The following is a 19,373-nucleotide window of genomic DNA, read 5'->3' as shown; positions in this document are numbered from 1 at the left end:
TACCTTTTATAGGTAATAATGTTTATTGACCAAAGTATGGGAATATGTCCTAGGCCTTCACATTCAATCACCACTCACTCACTAACTTACCCAGACCACTTCTGGCCCTGCAAGCTCCATTTATGGTAACTGCTCTCTACAAGTATACTAGTTTTTATTTTTTTGTACTGTATTTTTACTGTACCTTTTCTATGTTTAGATGCACAAATATCACTGTGTTACATACAGTTTTCTACAGTGTTCAGTACAGTTGCATGCTGTGCAGGTTAGTAGCCTAGGAGCAATAGGCTATACCACATAGCCTACATGTGTAGTAGGCTATGCCATCTGGATTTGCATAAGTATATTCTATGTTGTTCACACAATGACAAAATTGCCTAACATTACATTTCTCAGGAAGTAACCTCATCATTACACAATGCATGGCTGTAGTTTTAGAGTATTATGATTCTTTCAATAGGACAGTAAAAGTAAATTTAACAGATTCTTCTTTATTCTTATAAATAATTGCGTCTTTTTTTATATAATACCAATACTTGCTACCCAAGCTTTCTTTTTGTTAATATTGGACCAATATGTCATTTTCTATGCCTCTAATTTTCCAACTTTATGTCTGGGTTTGCTTTATACGTATGTCTCATAAGCATCACATAGAACTACATTGTTTTAATCTAATCACATAGCCTTTTAATGGATGTGTTTAATATATTTACATATATTGTGATTACCAACTTGAAGTGATTTCTACCATCTTCTTTTACATTTTCTGTTTGCCATCCTCTTTCCTTGATACTCTTTTTTTTGCCTTCTTTTGGATGGCTGAAGATTTCTAGGGTCCCTTTTGTTCTGCAAATTCGGAAATTATAGATAGCAACTTTACTCTTTGGGTGTTACTTTTAATTATGAAAATACAGACTTGTGACAGAGACTGGCTAACTGCTCATAAAACCCATTCTCCTTCTCTCCTGGGAACAAAGCTGAACTTTACTCCCCAGCCTCCCCTGAAGTTGGATAGATATGGCTGCATGACTGAGCTATAGTCAAGCCAATGGAATATGTGCAGAAGTGAGGAATGCCACTCCCAAGCCTGGCCCATTAAAACCTCCATTCCCTCTACTTCCACCCCTAGCCAGCTGTATGTCAGTGTCCTAAGGGACAATGGAAGCCCTATGCTGAGGATAGAGCATTTATCAGCCTGAGTGACTGAATAATAGCATGTAACAGAGACACCACCACCACTACCTAGCTCACCCACCAGTTGAAATATAGGTTATTGTAATTGCCCAGTGGGTTATTTCTGGTGGCTGCACAGACAAAGCCAGTTCACTGAGACCATGGCATTACGGTAAAGAAAGAGTTTAATTAACACGAGGCCAGACACACAGAAGATAGAGTTATTACTCAAATCAGTCTCCCTGAAGGCTTGAAGATTAGAGATTTTCAAGGATAGTATGGTGGGCAGGTGACTAGGTGATGGGTGTTGCTGGTTGGTTGCGGAGGCAGTCATAGGGGTATGGAAAATGGTCCTCATGAGCTGAGTCCATCTCTTGATTGGAGGTGAGTCATGAGTCACAGGACTGGGTGGAGTGAGCCTGAAAAACATTTCAAAAGACCAATCTTTGGTTCTGCAATAGTGATGTTTTCTATAGGAGCAATTGGAAAAGTCACAAATCTTGTGACCTCTGGCCACATAACTCCTAAGTAGTAAGTAATTATAGAAACTACACCTACATCTTAGCATAATTCAGGCCCCTCTCATAATCCTAACTTTGTGAACTTTCATTAGTTTTACAAAGGTAGTTTAGTTTTGGACAAGGCTATTATCATCCTTGTTTTAAGGTTAAACTATAAACTAAATTTCTCCCAAAGTGAGCTTGGCCTATGCCCAGGAATGACCAAAGGCAGCTTGGAGGTTAGAAGCAAGATGGAGTCAACTATGGCAGATTTCTTCTACTGTCATAATTTTGCAAAGGCAGGTTCATCATCAGGAAATAAACTTAGTTGCCACTGTATTGCATGTAATGAAATGTTTAAAATTACATGTATAAAAGATGCTTTTAAGAGTACTCCTTGCCACATTGAACACTGTTATTTTAGTCAGTGGATGTGGGGAAATAAAGCAGAGGAAAGGAGAGGAGGGCAGGGGAGGGGAGGGGAGGGGAGAAGGAAGGAAGGAAAGAGGGAAGGGAAGGGAAGGGAAAAGAGGGAAAGAAATACGTACTGAACTACTGAGTTTCAGCAGCTAAGTTATTAATACTTCATTATAAATTTTCTTTGAAAAATTAGACCAGTTAAGTATCTGTTTGTCATTTAAACAAGAACTTTACATGATATGACTACCCATTATATCCCTCTCTCATCATATAATTGTTTTATAGAGCCTTTTTCACATTGCTTTTAACAGATAAAATTATTTTCAGTCATTAATTAATTGCATTTATTCTCTATTTTTAAGAAAATTTTGTTATCGCTATTGATTCTGGTAACCTATATTCTTTCTCTGGGTTCACTTTTCTACTTGTTAAGGTGTAAATAGTTTTTTCATGACTGTGTGTGGGTAATACACATTCCTATATTGTCTTCATCCTCAAGGATAGCTAAGTCAGTACAAAATCCAGGTTGGCAGCTATTTTTTCTCAGTTCTTTAGAGCTATTACTCTATTGTCATCTAGAAATCTGTTGTTCCGGAGGAGAAATCTTCCAGTGATTTACTTGTTGCTCTTTTCTAAGTGTCCTTTCTCTTTGATAGTTCTGACAGTTTTCTCTGTGTACTTGATGTTCTGCAGTTTCATCATAATGTCTCCAAGTGTGAATTTGTTCCTATTATCCAGTTTGGTACTCAGAGTGCCATTTCAGTGTAAAGATTAGTATCTTTCTTCAAATCTCAAAAATTCTTCTTCATTGTTTTCTAATTAATGCTTTTCCAGAATTCACTCGATTATCTTCTGAATCTCCTATTGGGTGCATGCTGAAGCCACTCAATCTAACTTTCATTTACCTTAAACTGTTTTATATTTTTTAACTCATTGTTTCGCTTCAATTCATCATTCTAGTTGAATTCCTTACTTTTGTATCCCAATCCATTTGTTTATTAACTAAGCCAATGTAGACATTATCCTTTCTATTGAGTCTTTATTCAATAATTACATGTTTTATTTTCAAGATTTCTAATTGTTTCCTTTTCATATTTATATATCCTTCCTTTTCATTACTGCCTGTTTTGTTTCAAGGTGTCTTTTAACACATTAATCATATTTCCTCTATCTTTGTTATATATTTGAAGCAAATGTCAAACTTCAAAGAATGAACTTAAAACACCATCTTAACCAAAAGTCTAAAGTAGGTCAAAGTGCAAAGTACAAACAAATAAATCCAGAATGATTGGATTCAAATAAATCCATTTGAATAATGATTCAAACACAATGGGAGTTTGTTTTTGCTTCTTGTTTGTTTTCTCATTCAAATCCAGAATGGGCAGGTTGGCAGGGATCAGGGTGATAAGTCCTCTCCACCCCGTTAATCTGGGACCTATGCTGCCAGATGCACTGACATTTTCAACATAAATCTTCCATAGTCATTCTGGATGTCACCATCCCATGGAATCCCATGGAAAAAGCCCACAGAGTTGCCACATGAAAGGTTTTACAGGCCAAGTCTGGAAGTATCACATCTTACCTCTTCTCATATCCCACTGGAGAGAACATGGTCATAGGACCATACCCAACCACAAACTGGAAAGGAAGCTGGAAAACACAGGGTAGCTGTGCAATTCTATGTCTTGCTACTAGAGGTGGAACAGCTTTTGGTAGGCATCTAGTAATTTCTCCTACAACATCCAAAGAGCCACTCCATTGAAAAGTGTGCCAACTATTACAATGATGTCTTCTAACACTCTTCAGGACCTTAACATTACCAAATATCTTTTTGTTTATAGTGTCTATTTATATTATCACATTAATATATACAGCTTCTCTACTTCTTTGAGAACAACAGAAGTGTCCCTTGATGTCACTTTATGCTTATTCTTAAGATCATGAGATGATTTATATCAAACCAGACATGTTAGCAAAATTTCCTAATTTTACTCTAATGTTGTTTTCCTAATATTTCCTCCATCAACCATGGAATGCGACCCAGAAGAGTTACTCTAAAAGAAAGGCTCACTAAGGTACACTTTTTGAATTGAGGTCTCCTATTTCTTTGTTTCTATATAGGTATTCACTATATGTTACCTCTATACTGATTTTTAAAATCTTTTTTTCCACTTACTGCCTGAAAGTCCCATTTTCTCTTGACTCCAAGAGAGAACTTCACTAGGAACTAACATGAAATATAGTAATAATGCAACAATTTGTTGGGTACCCATTATGGAGCACATGTGCTAAGAGCTATCACACTCATTTTCTCATTGAATTCTGTCAACAATCCTGAAGATGTTCATTTTTATGTTCATTGTGTAAATGAAGAAACTAAGTTTAGGTAATTGTTTAATGTCCCAATTGTACCCTGGCTGAATTGTAACTCAACTTCAGGACTGAATAAATCTTGCATTTCTTCTATTTTACAAATTGCTCAAGGATATTCTAGGTAAATGTATGTCTATTTTAGCTAAGGTTTCAACTCCAAATTTCTATCGGCTCCTTTTCTCTAGTGAGCTAAGCTGTGTTTTGTAAGCTTCAAGGACCTCTCCGGCCCATTTAGCATAATAAGGTCTAGACTAAACACAGGCCTTTAGCAGCCTTGTCCACAAACCCTGTACCTTTAGCCATCTACTGATGGTTCTTTAGTGTCAGGATCTTTCTATTCTGATGTCAGCAAAAGAATGAAAAAGAGAGAATATTCTTTTTCCTAAGGCTTCACTCTGATCATCCCAAGCAGGAGGAATATGTAGGCTCCCTAAGCACCAGGAACATAGAAAAGAAGAAGGGCAACAGAGTAAAGCATGAAAAAGAAAGAATGTTCACTCCACTGTATTGTACTTCCTTGTATTAAAAATCCATTTTGTGACCCTGATGACAGCATTTTCTCCTTGATTAGGCCAGAGCTTCTCCTTCTTGAGGGGTTGGAGTGGCTTTGAAGTGAAGGCAGAGAAGGAATACCTTGAACTTCCCCTAGAGCAGAGCTAACCATTTTTGCCCCCAGCTCCAGAGGTTGTGACATTGTCCCTCTTGAGAAAGAGTATCCCAGTGGAGAATGACTGTAGCTTCTCTGTATCCATACCAACCAAGATGCTGCTGAATTTTACTTGTTATTTTTGTTATTAAAATAACAGGTTTCCTTTTCATTTTCAGTTACAAACTTATTTGATAATACCGAATGTATTTTTTCAACCTATACATGTATCTCACCACAGAATTTGGTATTATTTTTCCACACTTGGGAATCACTGCTCAGAAGGATAGAGTGAATAATCAGCTGTTGTGCCTTTCAAACATACTACTCTATGAATCTGCCATAAAGCTGTAGAACTATGAGACTACAAAATAAGTTTACGTAAAAAGTTTAGATTTTTCCCTTACCTGAAAATGGCCAAAACTACTATTCCTTAGATGGGATCTAAGATGAAAATATAGATTAAAGGAAAAAAAATGGGTAAAATTATACTATCAAAAACACTGTGCAGGCCAGGTGTGGTGGCTTATGCCTGTAATCCCAGCACTTTGGCAGGCCGAGGTGGGCTAATCACGAGATCAGGAGATTGAGACCATCCTGGCCAACATGGTGAAATCCCATCTATACTAAAAATACAAAAAAAAATTAGCTGGGCGTGGTGGCACGCACCTGTAGGCACAGCTACTCGGGAGGCTGAGGCAGGAGAATCCCTTGAACCCAGGAGGCGGAGGTTGCAGTGAGCCAAGATCGCACCACTGCACTTCAGCCTGGCAACAGAGCAAGACTTTGTCTAAAAAAAAAAAAAAAAAAAAAAAAAAAAAAACAGTGTGCAAGAGAAGTCACATAAAAAAATAGATAATAGATATCCCTGATAAATTAGGCAAGTTTCTGATAAAAAAAAAAAACCACAGAGAAGTTCACTACAGAAAACCAGAAACTAAAAATGCAAGAAATAAAGTGGTTTTACTTGCAGTTAGATTTCAGTTGAAAACCATAAAGTGAGATGGGCAGGTCTTCACTCTCCAAAGGGACACTCCAAAAAAATTTTCCTAACCCTTCTTAAATTTTGACAAACACACACATGAAGACCATATCTATTTGCACATAGAAAAACAACTATTTTTCAAAAAAAATATTTCTCCTGACTTTCATAGAGACCAGTTTCTAATCATTAGATTATGTTGACAACAGCAATCATTAAGACCATGGAAAGGCACAGGAATATTTTTTGATTACGTATTTTCACATAAAAGCACTTTTTAATGTAACTGGCTTTTTTTTTACAATGGGTAAATATATATTTGAAAAAGATAATGAGGCCATAAAAATGTTTTAAAATTCGTTTGGGATATCGGGTCAGCCCTCCATATCAGCGGATTCCACATCTGCAGATTCAACCATTGGTGAATTAAAAATACTCAAAAAAAGAAAATGTTGTGTCTGTACTGAACATATACAGATTTTTTCCTGTAATTATTCTCTAAACAATAAAGTATAATGACTATTTACATAGCATTTACATTGTGTTAGGTATTATAAGTAATCTAGAGATGATTTAAAGTATACAAGCGGATATGCATAGGTTATATGCAAATACTATACCATTTTATATCAGGAACTTGAGCAACCTTGGATTTTTATACCCACAGGATGTCCTGGAACCAATCCCTGACAGATACTGAGGGACAACTGTATGGGTATTTGCATGCACGTGGGTGTGCATGTTTGTACTTAGGAGAAGAATCTTTGAATATAACTTTATTAGAAAGTGAATAGAGAATTAAAATGACTTGAGAACCACGACTTACTCCTAAGGAAAACTTCTGAAGGGTGAATTATTTCATTTAATTTAAAAGCTTTTGTAATGCTAACTTTAAAAAAAAGAAAAACTTTTAGTGCACAACTCACATAATCTTTGTGATCCACAAAGAGGCAATACAGCCGAGTGGGTGCCATCAAGAACTGTGGAGTCTGGCCTCGGCTCAAATTCTGGTTTCACCATTTATGGTCCCTAAGACGCTGGACCAATTATTTAACCTCTCAAATCCTCAGTTCCATTATTTTTAAAGCACAGTTTATACATTATCTACACACCAGATTCCATGGTTAAATGAAGCATTTGTATAGTGCCAAACTCATAACAAGTCCACAGTAAATTTTATTATATTTCTTTGTTTTTTATCATTAAGAAAAGTCTGCATATCAGCCTACTTTGAAATTTATCATTTATAAAAAGAAAAAATAAGTTTAAGAATATAAAAACTCCATTTAAGATAAATGAAAGTTAGATTGAGTGGCTTCAACATACATCCAATGGAAGTTTCAGAAGATAATATGGTGAATGGCAGAAAGGCATTAATTCGAAAAATCTTGTTTTAACATTTTTGAGCTTTGAAGGAAGACATGAGTCTTCACACTAAAAAGGCACACACGTGTCATCTCTGTGACTATCTATGTCCAAATTTTTTCTTCCTATGAGGATACCAATAAGATTGGATTAGGACCCACCCTAATCCAGTATGACCTCATCTTCACCTGATTATATCTGTGAAGACCCTATTTCCAAATAAGGTCACATTCAGCTACCAGAGGTTAAGACTTCAATATATCTTTTAGTGAAACATAACTAACCCCTAACACCTCTTTCTCTATTTACATTGTCAAGGTGAATATCACAGCATGAAAAATGCAAATAGCAAAGAAAGGGTTGTTAAGTAATTGAGCTTAGGGGGATCACACATATATCATAAGTGTATACAGTTAGCCTGTCTACTCCCTAGACCATGAGCTAGTAAAGGGTAGAGACTGTAAGAATTAGGGTGGAGAACTAATGGGAATTAATGAATCCCAACAGGACAACTGCCCCCAACTTTTTAGAAAATTAGTCAAGCTGGAGCTCTAGTCTAGCCATTTTGTCTTATCTGAATACAGATTTTTCCCCCAAGCACCTAAGTCATCCGACGGGGCTGTGATCCCATACCACCAGAATAGATAGTGACAATCATAATTCCAATAATAATCATTATTTTCTGAATGTTTACTGTGTGCCAAGCAATTACATTTTATATTATCGACATTGTTTCATTCAATAATCACAAGTTATCCTTAGCCCTCAACTTGTAATGACTCCTATCCATTCCATCCAGCACAAAAACGGGAAGAAAATGCCCAGTTTGCTCTTGTTTTTCCTTCCCATACACAGTGATATTGTCATCTTCTGTCCCCACTTCCCCCCCACACACAATGCTGCCTGCAAATGGGGAATAACCAAGAAAGATGTGCCATGTTCCATCCAGCCTTCCCCATTGAGTGCTCTTAGGAGGCCAATATGAAGAAGCCATGACCTTCCTCAGTCATTATGGATGCAGTTTTTAAAACGGAGGGCACCAAAGCAGGTGGTTTTTTGGTTCAAAAACTAAGTTTAATGAAAGGATTAAACAGATTAAATGCTAAAGCTGTGGTAACAAAATTTATAAACAGAAACTAAGATTGTTTCAGGCTGCAGTTAATCCAAGTATTTCAGAATAAAAATTTATTATATTGAGTTATTTTTCCAAACGTCATACTTGTTATGCTTACCATATTTGCAAGGCTTGGCTTCTACTGGTCACCTTTTCAAATGACTGTGTTTACAGAATCAGCAACAAAAAGCTAAAGTTTATCTTGTCACCCAGAGACCTGGGCAGACTGGGCTGGTTCCAGGGACAGGTTTTGAACAGTTTACTAAGAGTTTCCTACCCAATGTGACCAGTCACATTTGCTATACATGCAGCTTGCCTTTTTATCAGATGAAGGCAGCAGGCTTAAGGAATGCTTTTCAATGCACTTGTGTAGTGGCAAAACTGAAAAGTTTATTAAGTTGCAATCTCAGTTTTGAAAAGGTAAGCTAGGCAAACTATTCATCTGTCAGTAGCATTCGCAGCTGAGTAATTGCCCTATTCTTAAATACTTGCTTCTCCAGTTCTGAGGAGCTCTGTAAAATCCTGTATCATGTTGAGCTGAAACCTCCTATCTTATAACGTCATTCTTTTGGACCTAATTTTACATTCACCATAAAATAGCTCTTCAAATGTTTGAAAACAACTCTCACATGTCCTCTAAGTCTTCTCTTTTCATGTGTCTTCAGCCATCATCCTATGGCATGGCTCCACCATCCTGGTCATTTCTCTCTTCTTGTGCACCAATTTATCTTTTTGAGTGTTAATACTTGGCACCACAATGCTTCATGGACAATTTAACTGAAGTTAAGTAAAGAATGACTACTATTTCCCTAATTCTGGACATGATAATCTTACTATTGCAACAACCAGCAGAGCTAGTTTTCATGGTGACCATATGTTGATTCACATTAAAGTTACTGACATTTTCTAAATAAGTTTTAGATGAGCTTCTAAGTCATATTTTTTCAATTTAATAGTTGTGTGATTTATTTGGAGAAAAATAAAACATACTTATTTGCAACAGACTTCATCTTTAGTAGTAGATCTTGCCTATAGTTTTATATTGTTTCACACTTATATTCCTACTACTTACCTAATACAAATTCAATAAGTATCAAACATCTATTCAGAGGTCATTGATAAATTTGAAGAGCTTAAAACTAGTGGAAGAATTTTTCCACATTTCTCATAGGCTCAAAATAATCCATTTATAGATAATTTTGGTATACTCTGTCAAATAGTTACACATTCATCTAATTACAAAGATCCAACTCACATCTCTCCAGCATTTCTGTAAGCATGTAGTGAGAAACACACCATATGCAGCATTTCTCTATTCTAGAGTTCAGTGAAAGACAGCATTAAGAAAAGCCTAACGTGAGCTGTTTTCAGTGAATACACAGTGTTTCTTAGAGATTACACCAACTGTCCTTTAAATAATACATTCAGAAATTTTCCTGAGATTGAAACCAAGCTCAAATTTGGTTGGCTTATCGGTCTATCACCTGCAAAATCTCCCTGTGACCCCTTTTGAAAATCAAAACCACATTTGTTCATTCCCATTCTTCATGCTGTAGTTCTTTCATGACTGTTAAAAGAAAACTGAAATCAAGGTTTTATTTTTCTATTTCCTTTGCTGGTTGCCTCAGAATTCTAGGACCTAATACAACAAGGCAAAACAACTAGAAGTCACTTAACCAGTTCCTTCATGCTTCTTGAAATTTGATCTTCTCTGTATACTTTATATTTCTAGTCCAAAGTGCACTTGCCTTGACAAAAATATTAAAAACAAAGACAGTTGAGAAACTCTGCTGTATTAGTCTGTTTTCACACTGCTAATGAAGACATACCCAAGACTGGGTAATTTATAAAGGAAAGAGGCTTGATTGACTCACAGTTCCACATGGCTGGGGAGGCCTCACAATGATGGCAGAAGGTAAATGAGGAGCAAATTCACACCTTACATGTCAGTAGGCAAGAGAGCTTATGTAGAGGAACTCCCCTTCCTAAAACTATCTGATCTTGTGAGACTTATTCACTATCAGGAGAACAGCACAAGAAAGACCCGCCCCATAATTCAACTACTTCCCACTGGGTCCCTCCCATGACATGTGGGGATTATGGGAGCTACAATTTAAGACAGAATTTGGGTGAGGACACAGCCAAACCATATAATCTGCCTTCTCTACTACCCAGAAACATTACACTTCTATAGAAAAATATTCGTCAAAAAAAGAGAGGGAGGCAAGCCTTTCTAAGCATGGCACTAAAGGCAGAAATCATAAAGAAAAAAACTGCATACTTAAAAAATGTAAACTTCTGTACATCAGAAAATACCACATAAACTTTTCAAGTAAATGGAAATCTTTGAAAAATATTTGTAAATACATTTATACATATTTTAGAGCCTCATTTATAAACAGTCCTTGAAAAAGCAGTTAGAAAATACAGACACAACATTAGAAAGAGGAGTAAAGTTCAAGGTAATTGAAGTAAAGAAAGAAGAAACAAATAAACCCGTTAAAAAAAAAAAATGTCTATCTTGGCCGGGCGCGGTGGCTCACGCCTGTAATCCCAGCACTTTGGGAGGCCAAGGCAGGCGGATCACGAGGTCAGGAGATCAAGACCATCCTGGCTAACACGGTGAAACCCCGTCTCTACTAAAAATACAAAAAATTAGCTGGGCGTAGTGGCGGGCGCCTGTAGTCCCAGCTACTCCGGAGGCTGAGGCAGGAGAATGGCATGAACCCGGGAGGCAGAGCTTGCAGTGAGCCGAGATTGCACCACTGCACTCCAGCCTGGGCGACAGAGCAAGACTCCGTCTCAAAAAAAAAAAAAAAAAAAAAAAAGGTCTATCTTTATTAACTATAAAAGAAATTTAAATTTAATAAAAATATTTTATATTTAACAAACTAGGAAAGTGTTTTGTTTTGTTAAATGCACAATACTTTGTTGAAAGTCCAAGACCAAGGAAAACTGACATTCTCCTATACACTGCTATAAATTGAGCTCTAAGAAATAAAACCTTATACTAAGTGTTTTATGTGCATTACCTTATTTAATGTGTCTTCAAACATTCACTTCTTCTATGGCTAAAATTTATATTCTGAGCCAAGAATTCTGGTTCACGAAGATCTGCTAAGATGACACAGTCACTTTGTCATGCATTTCTTATTATTACCGTTTCATTAACCAGGTCAATTCTCATACCTACTGGGAAATGAAACCTGTCAGCAACACAAGTTAAACATTCTTTGTTAGAAGCTCTTGATTTAGCCTAAGAAGACTTGCAGCATATGTCTTGACAGTTGAAGTACTCATGACTGTTAAAATCCAACCTCATGTCAATCTTATATTTTGAATTAGCACGTTAATCACTTTTTTCTCTCTGTTCACATAGCCTCTTAATATGATCTCAAAATGGTAGTTCTAAGGTTCTCTCATTTTTATCCGAATTATAATTTTTAACAGCGTCAACCTTACAGCAGATTTTCACATAGGTACTTTACATATAGGATAACTCATCTTTCATCTTTAGCAAATCTGTGTCTTTTCTAACATAGATTCTTAATTTTAGGTTCTAACCCACTGGGTACCATTTTCTCCTTTTTATTACTATGCAGTATAATGTCAACATACTTATGTAGCTGACTATTTTATGAATACCTTCTTACCAATTATTTTCTTACATGAATTACTATAAACAACTCCCACTGATGTTTTTATTTCTATAATAAAGTGTTTCATAGCTCTACTTGGATGATTTCTCTCTCCCGTTCCATACGCATCTTGAATTGTCCTTAGAATGAAGGAAATCAATCAGGAAAAAAAAGCCAAAAGACAGAAAGTTTGAGGAGACAGATAAGATTCAAAAGTCAAAACCAAGGTGCAGGTGAGTGAAAATTTTTGTGCCAAGTTAAAAGAAGTAAAGAAACTCTGTAGTATTAGAATAATTAAATGAGTAAAATGTTTCCCATGGAATATTAATCAAGACCTTCCAAATAAGAGGCAGGAACTAAGTTCTACATGAAACATGAAGCAGACCTCACAAATAAGGAATAGGGGAAACAATCCTTCAACATTCCAAGATGGAAGTAACGGGTCATAGTAGCCAGTAATTTTCTACCAAAAAATACAGAAGCCAGAAGCTGCTGGAAGTAGATAATATGGCTAACAAAGTAGTATATTGTCTTATCAGGATGGGTATCTATCTGAAAAATATCAGAGAAATAATACTAACTTTCTATAATATTTCACCAAATACTTTTACATCAGTATATTACTTAATCTCTCAAAAACTAGGTAAGGCATGTTGTATTATCATGTAGATAAGAAAACTCTCCTGAAGTTGTTAGGTTCCTAAGGCTAAGTGCTAAAGCTAGAACTCTAAGCCAAGTCTAGCTAAACTAAATCCCATGTTTATGCTATTGTATAACTATACCAAACTGCCCTTTAAGAAAAATCAATATTGATAAACAGGTAATGTTTTTAAGACAGAGTTTTGCTCTTGTTGCCCAGGCTGGAGTGCAATGACACGATCTCGGCTCACTGCAACCTCCGCCTCCCAGGTTCAAACCATTCTCCTGCCTCAGCCTTCGAAGCAGCTGGGATTACAGGCATGCGCCACCACACCTGGCTAATTTTGTATTTTTAGTAGAAATGGGGTTTCACCATGTTGGTCAAGCTGGTTTCGAACTCCTGACCTCAGGTCATCCACCTGCCTCAGCCTCCCAAAGTGCTAGGATTATAGGCATAAGCCACCATGCCCAGCCTAATAAGTGATTTTTTAAATCTAGTCTCAAATTTCTCACCAGGCACCTCTGCCACGTAATTCGTCGGTTGTATGTGTACAAGCAATACAGTCAGAATAAAAAGCTGGCTCAATAAAGGGGGTAGGTTTTGTATACATGATGTTTTTTATCTTCATTTTTTACTAAACAAATCAGTTCTTTTGATAAGATAATTAACCCCTCATTTGTTTTCTTGCTGAAGTTTTTGGCTGACATTTTCAACATTCATCCTAAATATTGGAGCCTTTGGATAACCTGAGCTAAGCAGTTTTACTGTGAGTCTTTACTGTGGACTAAATCTATTGTGTAGATAACAGACACACTTGTACTTGTATACTTAGAGTACCATCCCAAGATATCACATTGAGTAGGACCATGAAAAACATACAATTCAGAGTTTACTTTTAAGCTCATTCAAGAAATAATTAAATAATTAAATAAAGTATAGTTTATCCTAGAATAAGTGACATTGGTTTTAAAACTAGTACCGTATTCTTCACTAATTTCAAACAAGGGCCAGACTGTTTCTTTGGACTGTTGATTTTTTGTTTAAGTCTGAAAGGGAAAAAGTATTGTGTTTCAGGGCTGTGCTAAACTAAAATTGTTTTTATACAATAATTCAGCAAGCAGTTTATGCTGTAACATATGCTGTAACACCTCAGAGCACCTTGTAGAGAAAGAACTCTCACTCCAGTGTTGAATGGGAAGTTGAAAATGAAGATTTCTGGTCCCACTGAGCCTGCTGGGGCAGCAGAAGAGAGCCATGCCCTGCTTTACAAGCACTTGCCTTTTCCTACCAATGTGTTCTGAGATTTTCAGCAGAGCACAGCTTTCTGGAACCTATATTCAAAACCCTAAATCTTTGTGGAGAAGTCCAGGCTTCAAACAAAATTTCTAATACTGTTGAGCTGAAGAGAAGCTGTTTCTAATCTAGTATATTTCACAAACAACATTCCTTTTGTGTGGTGCTGATGAAGTGCCAAATTCTGTACTTCAGAGTACTGTTTTTGTGATGTACAAGACCAGAGTTTATGGAGGGGAGACTCCGTTTACTTTTGCTATCATTAAGGATATTTGCCTTAACTAAATGATCTAAAATTCCTCATTCCTCTAGCAGCTTTCTGGTCACTCTGCTTTACCCCACCTCCAACGTAATATAGGGAAAAGAGTTGGACTGGAAATCAGGAGTGCTGAATTCAGGTACCTGTTCTTCCATTGAGTAGCTGTGTGACCTTGGAAGTCACTAACTTCTCCGTACCTCTTTTTCTTCCAGTGTAAACTAAGAGGTCACACTAGACCCATGGCTTTCAAGTGGTTGCCTTTAAACTATAGAGATCATTGGCTGTGGAAACAGCAAAAACATTGTCTGCAAAAATAAGAATTAGAGGATAAACAAGAACAAGAAGAAGAAAAAGGGAAGGGGAAGGAGGAAAAGAGGAAGACGGGGAGAAGGAAAACAGTAAGAAAAAAGGAAAAGGAGGAGGATGAGAAAAAAGAATGAGGAGAAGGGCAAGAAAGGGGGAGGAGGTAGAGAAGAAGAAGGAGGGCAAAAAAAGGAGGAGGAGAAAGGGGAGGGGAGGGAGAAGAGGAGGAAGAGGGAAAGGAGGAAGAAGGGGAGGAAGAGGGCAAGAAAGAAGAAAAAGCAGGAAGGGAGGAGGAGGAAGAGGAGAGGAAAAGGAGGGCAAGAAAGAAGAAGAAAAAGGAGGAGGAGGAGAAGGAGGAGGAAAGGAGGAAGAAGAAAAGGAAGAGAAAGGCAAAGAAGAGGAGGAGCAGGAAAAACTTATGCCACCAAAGGGACCTATCTATTGCTGTTATTTTTCTTATAAATTGAGGTTCTTTATAAAGTTCTAAGTAAGATTTTATTTGGGACTATAAGAAGGTAGTTCTGCTGCTGAAGGGTAGAAAATTGCTAGACACAATGATTTCTGAAGATCTGTATAGCTTCAAAATTCAATGAATCATCATAACAGCTAACTTTAGTTACCTTTTACTTAGTATCTCCTATGTGCTGGAACTAGACTAAGTCCTTTTTATCCATTATTTAACCTAATCCTTATGGCAACTCTGCAAGGTATATATTTATTACTTTATTTGTCTTTCCCATGGCTTGCAACTCATAAGGAGCCAGAGTTTACACCATGATCTGTAAGATCGAAAGCCCATGTTTTTTTTCTTCTTACTATAGAATTCCATTAAGTGAAATTAAAATTATCCTTTTTTTTTTTTTTGAGGTGGAGTTTGGTTCTGTCACCCAGGTTGGAGTGCAGTGGCCCTGCAATCTCAGCTCACTGCAGTGTCTGCCTCCCAGGTTCAAGCTATTCTCCTGCCTCAGCCTCCCAAGTAGCTGGGATTACAGGCACTCACCACCACACCTGGCTAATTTTTGTATTTTTAGTACAGACGGGGTTTCACCATGTTGGCCAGGCTGGTCTCAAACTCCTGACCTCAGGCTATGTACCCGCCTCGGCCTCCCAAAGTGCTGGGATTACAGGGATCAGCTACCGCACCCAGCCAAAATTATCTTTCAGAAAATTACTTAAGTGTATTAACAGGGTGTGATAGGCAGAATAACGGCCCCTAAGGATGTCCATATTCTAATCCCCGGAACCTGTAAAAGGACGCTTAAGTTGTGTAACCTTATACTGTGATTAAGAATCCTGAGATGGGGTTGTCAGGCAGGCTCAATGTAAACACAGTGTCCTTGTGAGGAAAGAGGGGGCACAGAGAGTCAGAGAAGGGGATGTAATGATGAAAGCATGAAACCAGAGTGATGCAGCATGAGAAAGTCTCCACCTGCCATTGCTGCTTGAAGGTGGAAGAATAGGACCATGAGCCAAGGAATGAGGGCAGCCTCTAGAAGCTGGAAAGGGCAAGGAAGCAGAATCTCCCCTACAGCTTCCAGAAAGAATGCAACTCTGCCAATACCTTGATTTTTAGTGGTGAGACCAGTTTGGACTTCTGACCTCCAAAACTGTAATATAATAAATTTGTATTGTTCAACCCACTAAGTGATATAGTTTGGGTATTTGTCCCCTCCAAATCTCATGTTGAAATGTGATCCCCAATCTTGAAGGTGGGAACTAGTAGGAGGCGTTTGGGTCATGGAGACAGATCTTTCGTGAATAGGTTAATGCAAAAGTGAGTCGTTTTTCACGAGAGCTGATTGTTGAAAAGAGCCTGGCACCTCCTTCCCCTCTCTTGCTTCTTCTCTCACCATGCGATGCCTGCCCTCCTTCTCCTTCCACCATGAATGGGAGCTTCCTAAGGCCCCCACCACATGCTGGTGCCATACTTCTTATACAGCCTGCAGAACTATATGCCAAATAAAGCTCTTTTCTTTATAAATTTCTCAGTCTCAGGTATTCCTTTATAGCAACATAAATGGAATAAGACACTAAGTTTGGAGTAATTTGTTACAACAGCAATGGGAAACTAATACACAAGGTAATGTTGAGTAGTTGTCTGTAATTTTCTTTAAAGGACTTCAGCATAGACAGTGTGGTGTCACATTTATTAGGTTGAGTTACAAGCCAGGTACAATCAGGAATTTGTGTTCCAGAAGAAGTCAGCTAGTTATATGCCGTTAAGCTCACACTCCAGAGGTCGCTATTGCAAGTGCTTCTGTTACCAGTATCACTGATCATCAGTAGATACTTTATTAATTAGCATAAATCTTATCCAAAAATGGGGTTTTATTGGTGAAATCAATGCCTTGTTAGCAACATGAATGTTATAATAGAAATGCATTCCCATGTGACGAATTTAAAGTATTCAAGACATGTGGATTGGCTAAGATATTTGGGAGGCATTACTACCCTTGCATGAGCAAAGCGCAAGAATCTAGTGAGACTTTTAGCCCCAACCCTTCAAGATAGGGTTTGTGGCTTGACCTGTAAATGTTCCTGGCTCCAGTTGTTGAAGGATCTCTGGTTGCCTGATATCAACTGTGAGAGAACAGTCTTGCCTCTAAAATGTCATTGGGCCTTCCTTCAGAGAACCATTCTTGCATTGTCAGAGCACCAAAAATATCAGAAACCTGAATTTCATCAGTACAGGATCTATGAAGTATTTTGTGCCCAATAGCACAAATACCTATTTGAGTGGTCCAGTTTGGTCTAAGACATGTTTCATTACGACATGATAGTAAGGCTCTAGGGAAATAGTTAACTCTTACCTACCTGAAAATTTTCAGCAGCTATTATGAATTATTCAAGAAAAAAAAGTGTAATTACATTAGCCTACCTCGGTTTGCAACAGTAGTCAATTTACAGGAGCCACATAACTTTGGAAAATGTAAAACTGAGCCTTCCTCTTCATTTGCAGAAATAAAGATGTGTTCTATTACTAATGAGATCTGCAATGGTAACTGTTGAAGTCTATTGTTTATTAACACCAAATAAATTTCTCAATTTTCTTTCACTAATTTATACATGAGGTGTTTTAGTGAAAGAAAAATGAAACAGATCCTCTTCATAGACCAAACTCCTCTAAAAGTGTCCCCCAAGCTATCATTATGACTGTTTGGGATATAATCTTCTATACAGGCAGTGGTGAGACCATCAGCCTTTGTCCAATAATCTCAGTGAAAAATTATTGTTTGGTTTAAAGTATGATACTCAAAAAGCCAAAAAAATAAATGTCAACAAGCCCACAGGTGGTAAGGGAAGGGGAGCAGCTAAGAGCTAAGATTTCAGAAAATGTGGCACATGTGAAGTTCTGCCAAATATCAAAGAACCACTTGTTCTACCAACCTCACACACTCCTGGGAAGAAAACTCAGAAAGCAAATACAAGTGGGATAAAGTATACTTGACAGAGCCTTAACCCATGAGAGAGCATACTGATATTTAAGGCAGATGAAAGTAGAGCAGATGATGGAGAACATGAAAAAATCAGATTTTTCACACACGTGAAAACCACTCTAACAAATGTTTGATTGAAACACACCGTCTCCATTCTCCACTCTCTGCAATATTTCAAGGGGAAGTTTCCAGGCAAAATGCCTCAGGATGGCTACCAATAGACCATATGGAAATGATGAACAGAGTATCTGTTTGCTTCCACACACATAAGCCAGTCTAAATGATTTGATTAACTTTCACAGATTTCTCAGTCAAAAAGAGAAACTGTGGAATCACTTGCTTGTTTGTTTTGCTTCATAGAATGTTAGGCTAAAAAGAACTTTAAAATGTATCTATTCTAGCTCTTTTATTTTATTAAGACATTAATGTGCCCAAGTTTGCATAGCCAGTTAGTGGCAGAATAAGGTGACCATTCTACACCACCATGGTTCTACTGTATCTATTTGATATATTTGTACTATTTGGATGTTTTCTATTTATTAATTTACATGAAACTGATAGTGCAAATATGACTTCTTTCTTAATTTGTTGACTTTGAATAAATAATAAATGCTATTTTCATTCCTGGGACATTCTTTTGCTCCTATTCAAATAATACATGCAACATGCTCTTCCAAACTTGCCTGCCCTTGACTATGATTTTTCATCTGCCTGAAATATCATTGGCCCAATTCTCTGCATGACCAATTGCCTTCCTCACAAAGACCCAGGTCACTTAGCCCTTCTGTAAAGCCTTCCTTGGGTAGTTCCAAGAAGAGTCAGTCAATTGTACTCCTTCTGCCCTCTCTTTATGTTCTGCACAGCCCCTCTTAGCAGTCCTCATGCATGGTGGCAAACATCTTTATGCATTGATGTCTCTCACTAGATTATAAACTCCCTGAAGTCTGGAATTGTTGCTAAGAACCTTGAGATGGGAAGACTATCCTGGGTTATCTGGGCGGGCCCAATGTGATCACAAAGGCCCTCAAATTGAGAAGAACAAAGCAGAAGGGTCAGAACAAGAGAAACGCATCAGAAGAAAGACTCCACCAGCTGGCTTTGAAGATGGAGGAATGGAGCCATGACCCAAGGAATGTGATGGCCTCTAGAAGCTGGAATTGCAATAAAATGGATTCTCCCCTAGTGTCTTCAGGAGGATCGCAACTCCGCTCACACCTTGATTTTAGCTCT

General features: G+C 37.5%; 1 long non-coding RNA gene across 1 annotated transcript in view; it reads right to left on the bottom strand.

The window, feature by feature from the left end:
- Window positions 1-664: 664 nt before the first annotated feature.
- The window catches only part of MGC27382 (uncharacterized), a 139,866-nt gene continuing 121,157 nt past the window's right edge, over window positions 665-19,373 (bottom strand). The window contains exons 5-6 of the long non-coding RNA NR_027310.2: window positions 1,402-1,592; window positions 665-846 (exon numbers count right to left, since the gene is read on the bottom strand). This is a non-coding gene — a long non-coding RNA (uncharacterized MGC27382). The remainder of the gene's footprint in view (window positions 847-1,401; window positions 1,593-19,373) is intronic.

The sequence above is a fragment of the Homo sapiens genome, chromosome 1, assembly GCF_000001405.40.
Source record: "Homo sapiens chromosome 1, GRCh38.p14 Primary Assembly".
NCBI lineage: Eukaryota > Metazoa > Chordata > Mammalia > Primates > Hominidae > Homo > Homo sapiens.
Note: the sequence above shows the minus strand (reverse complement) of the source record. Positions and strands in the feature narration are given on the sequence as shown.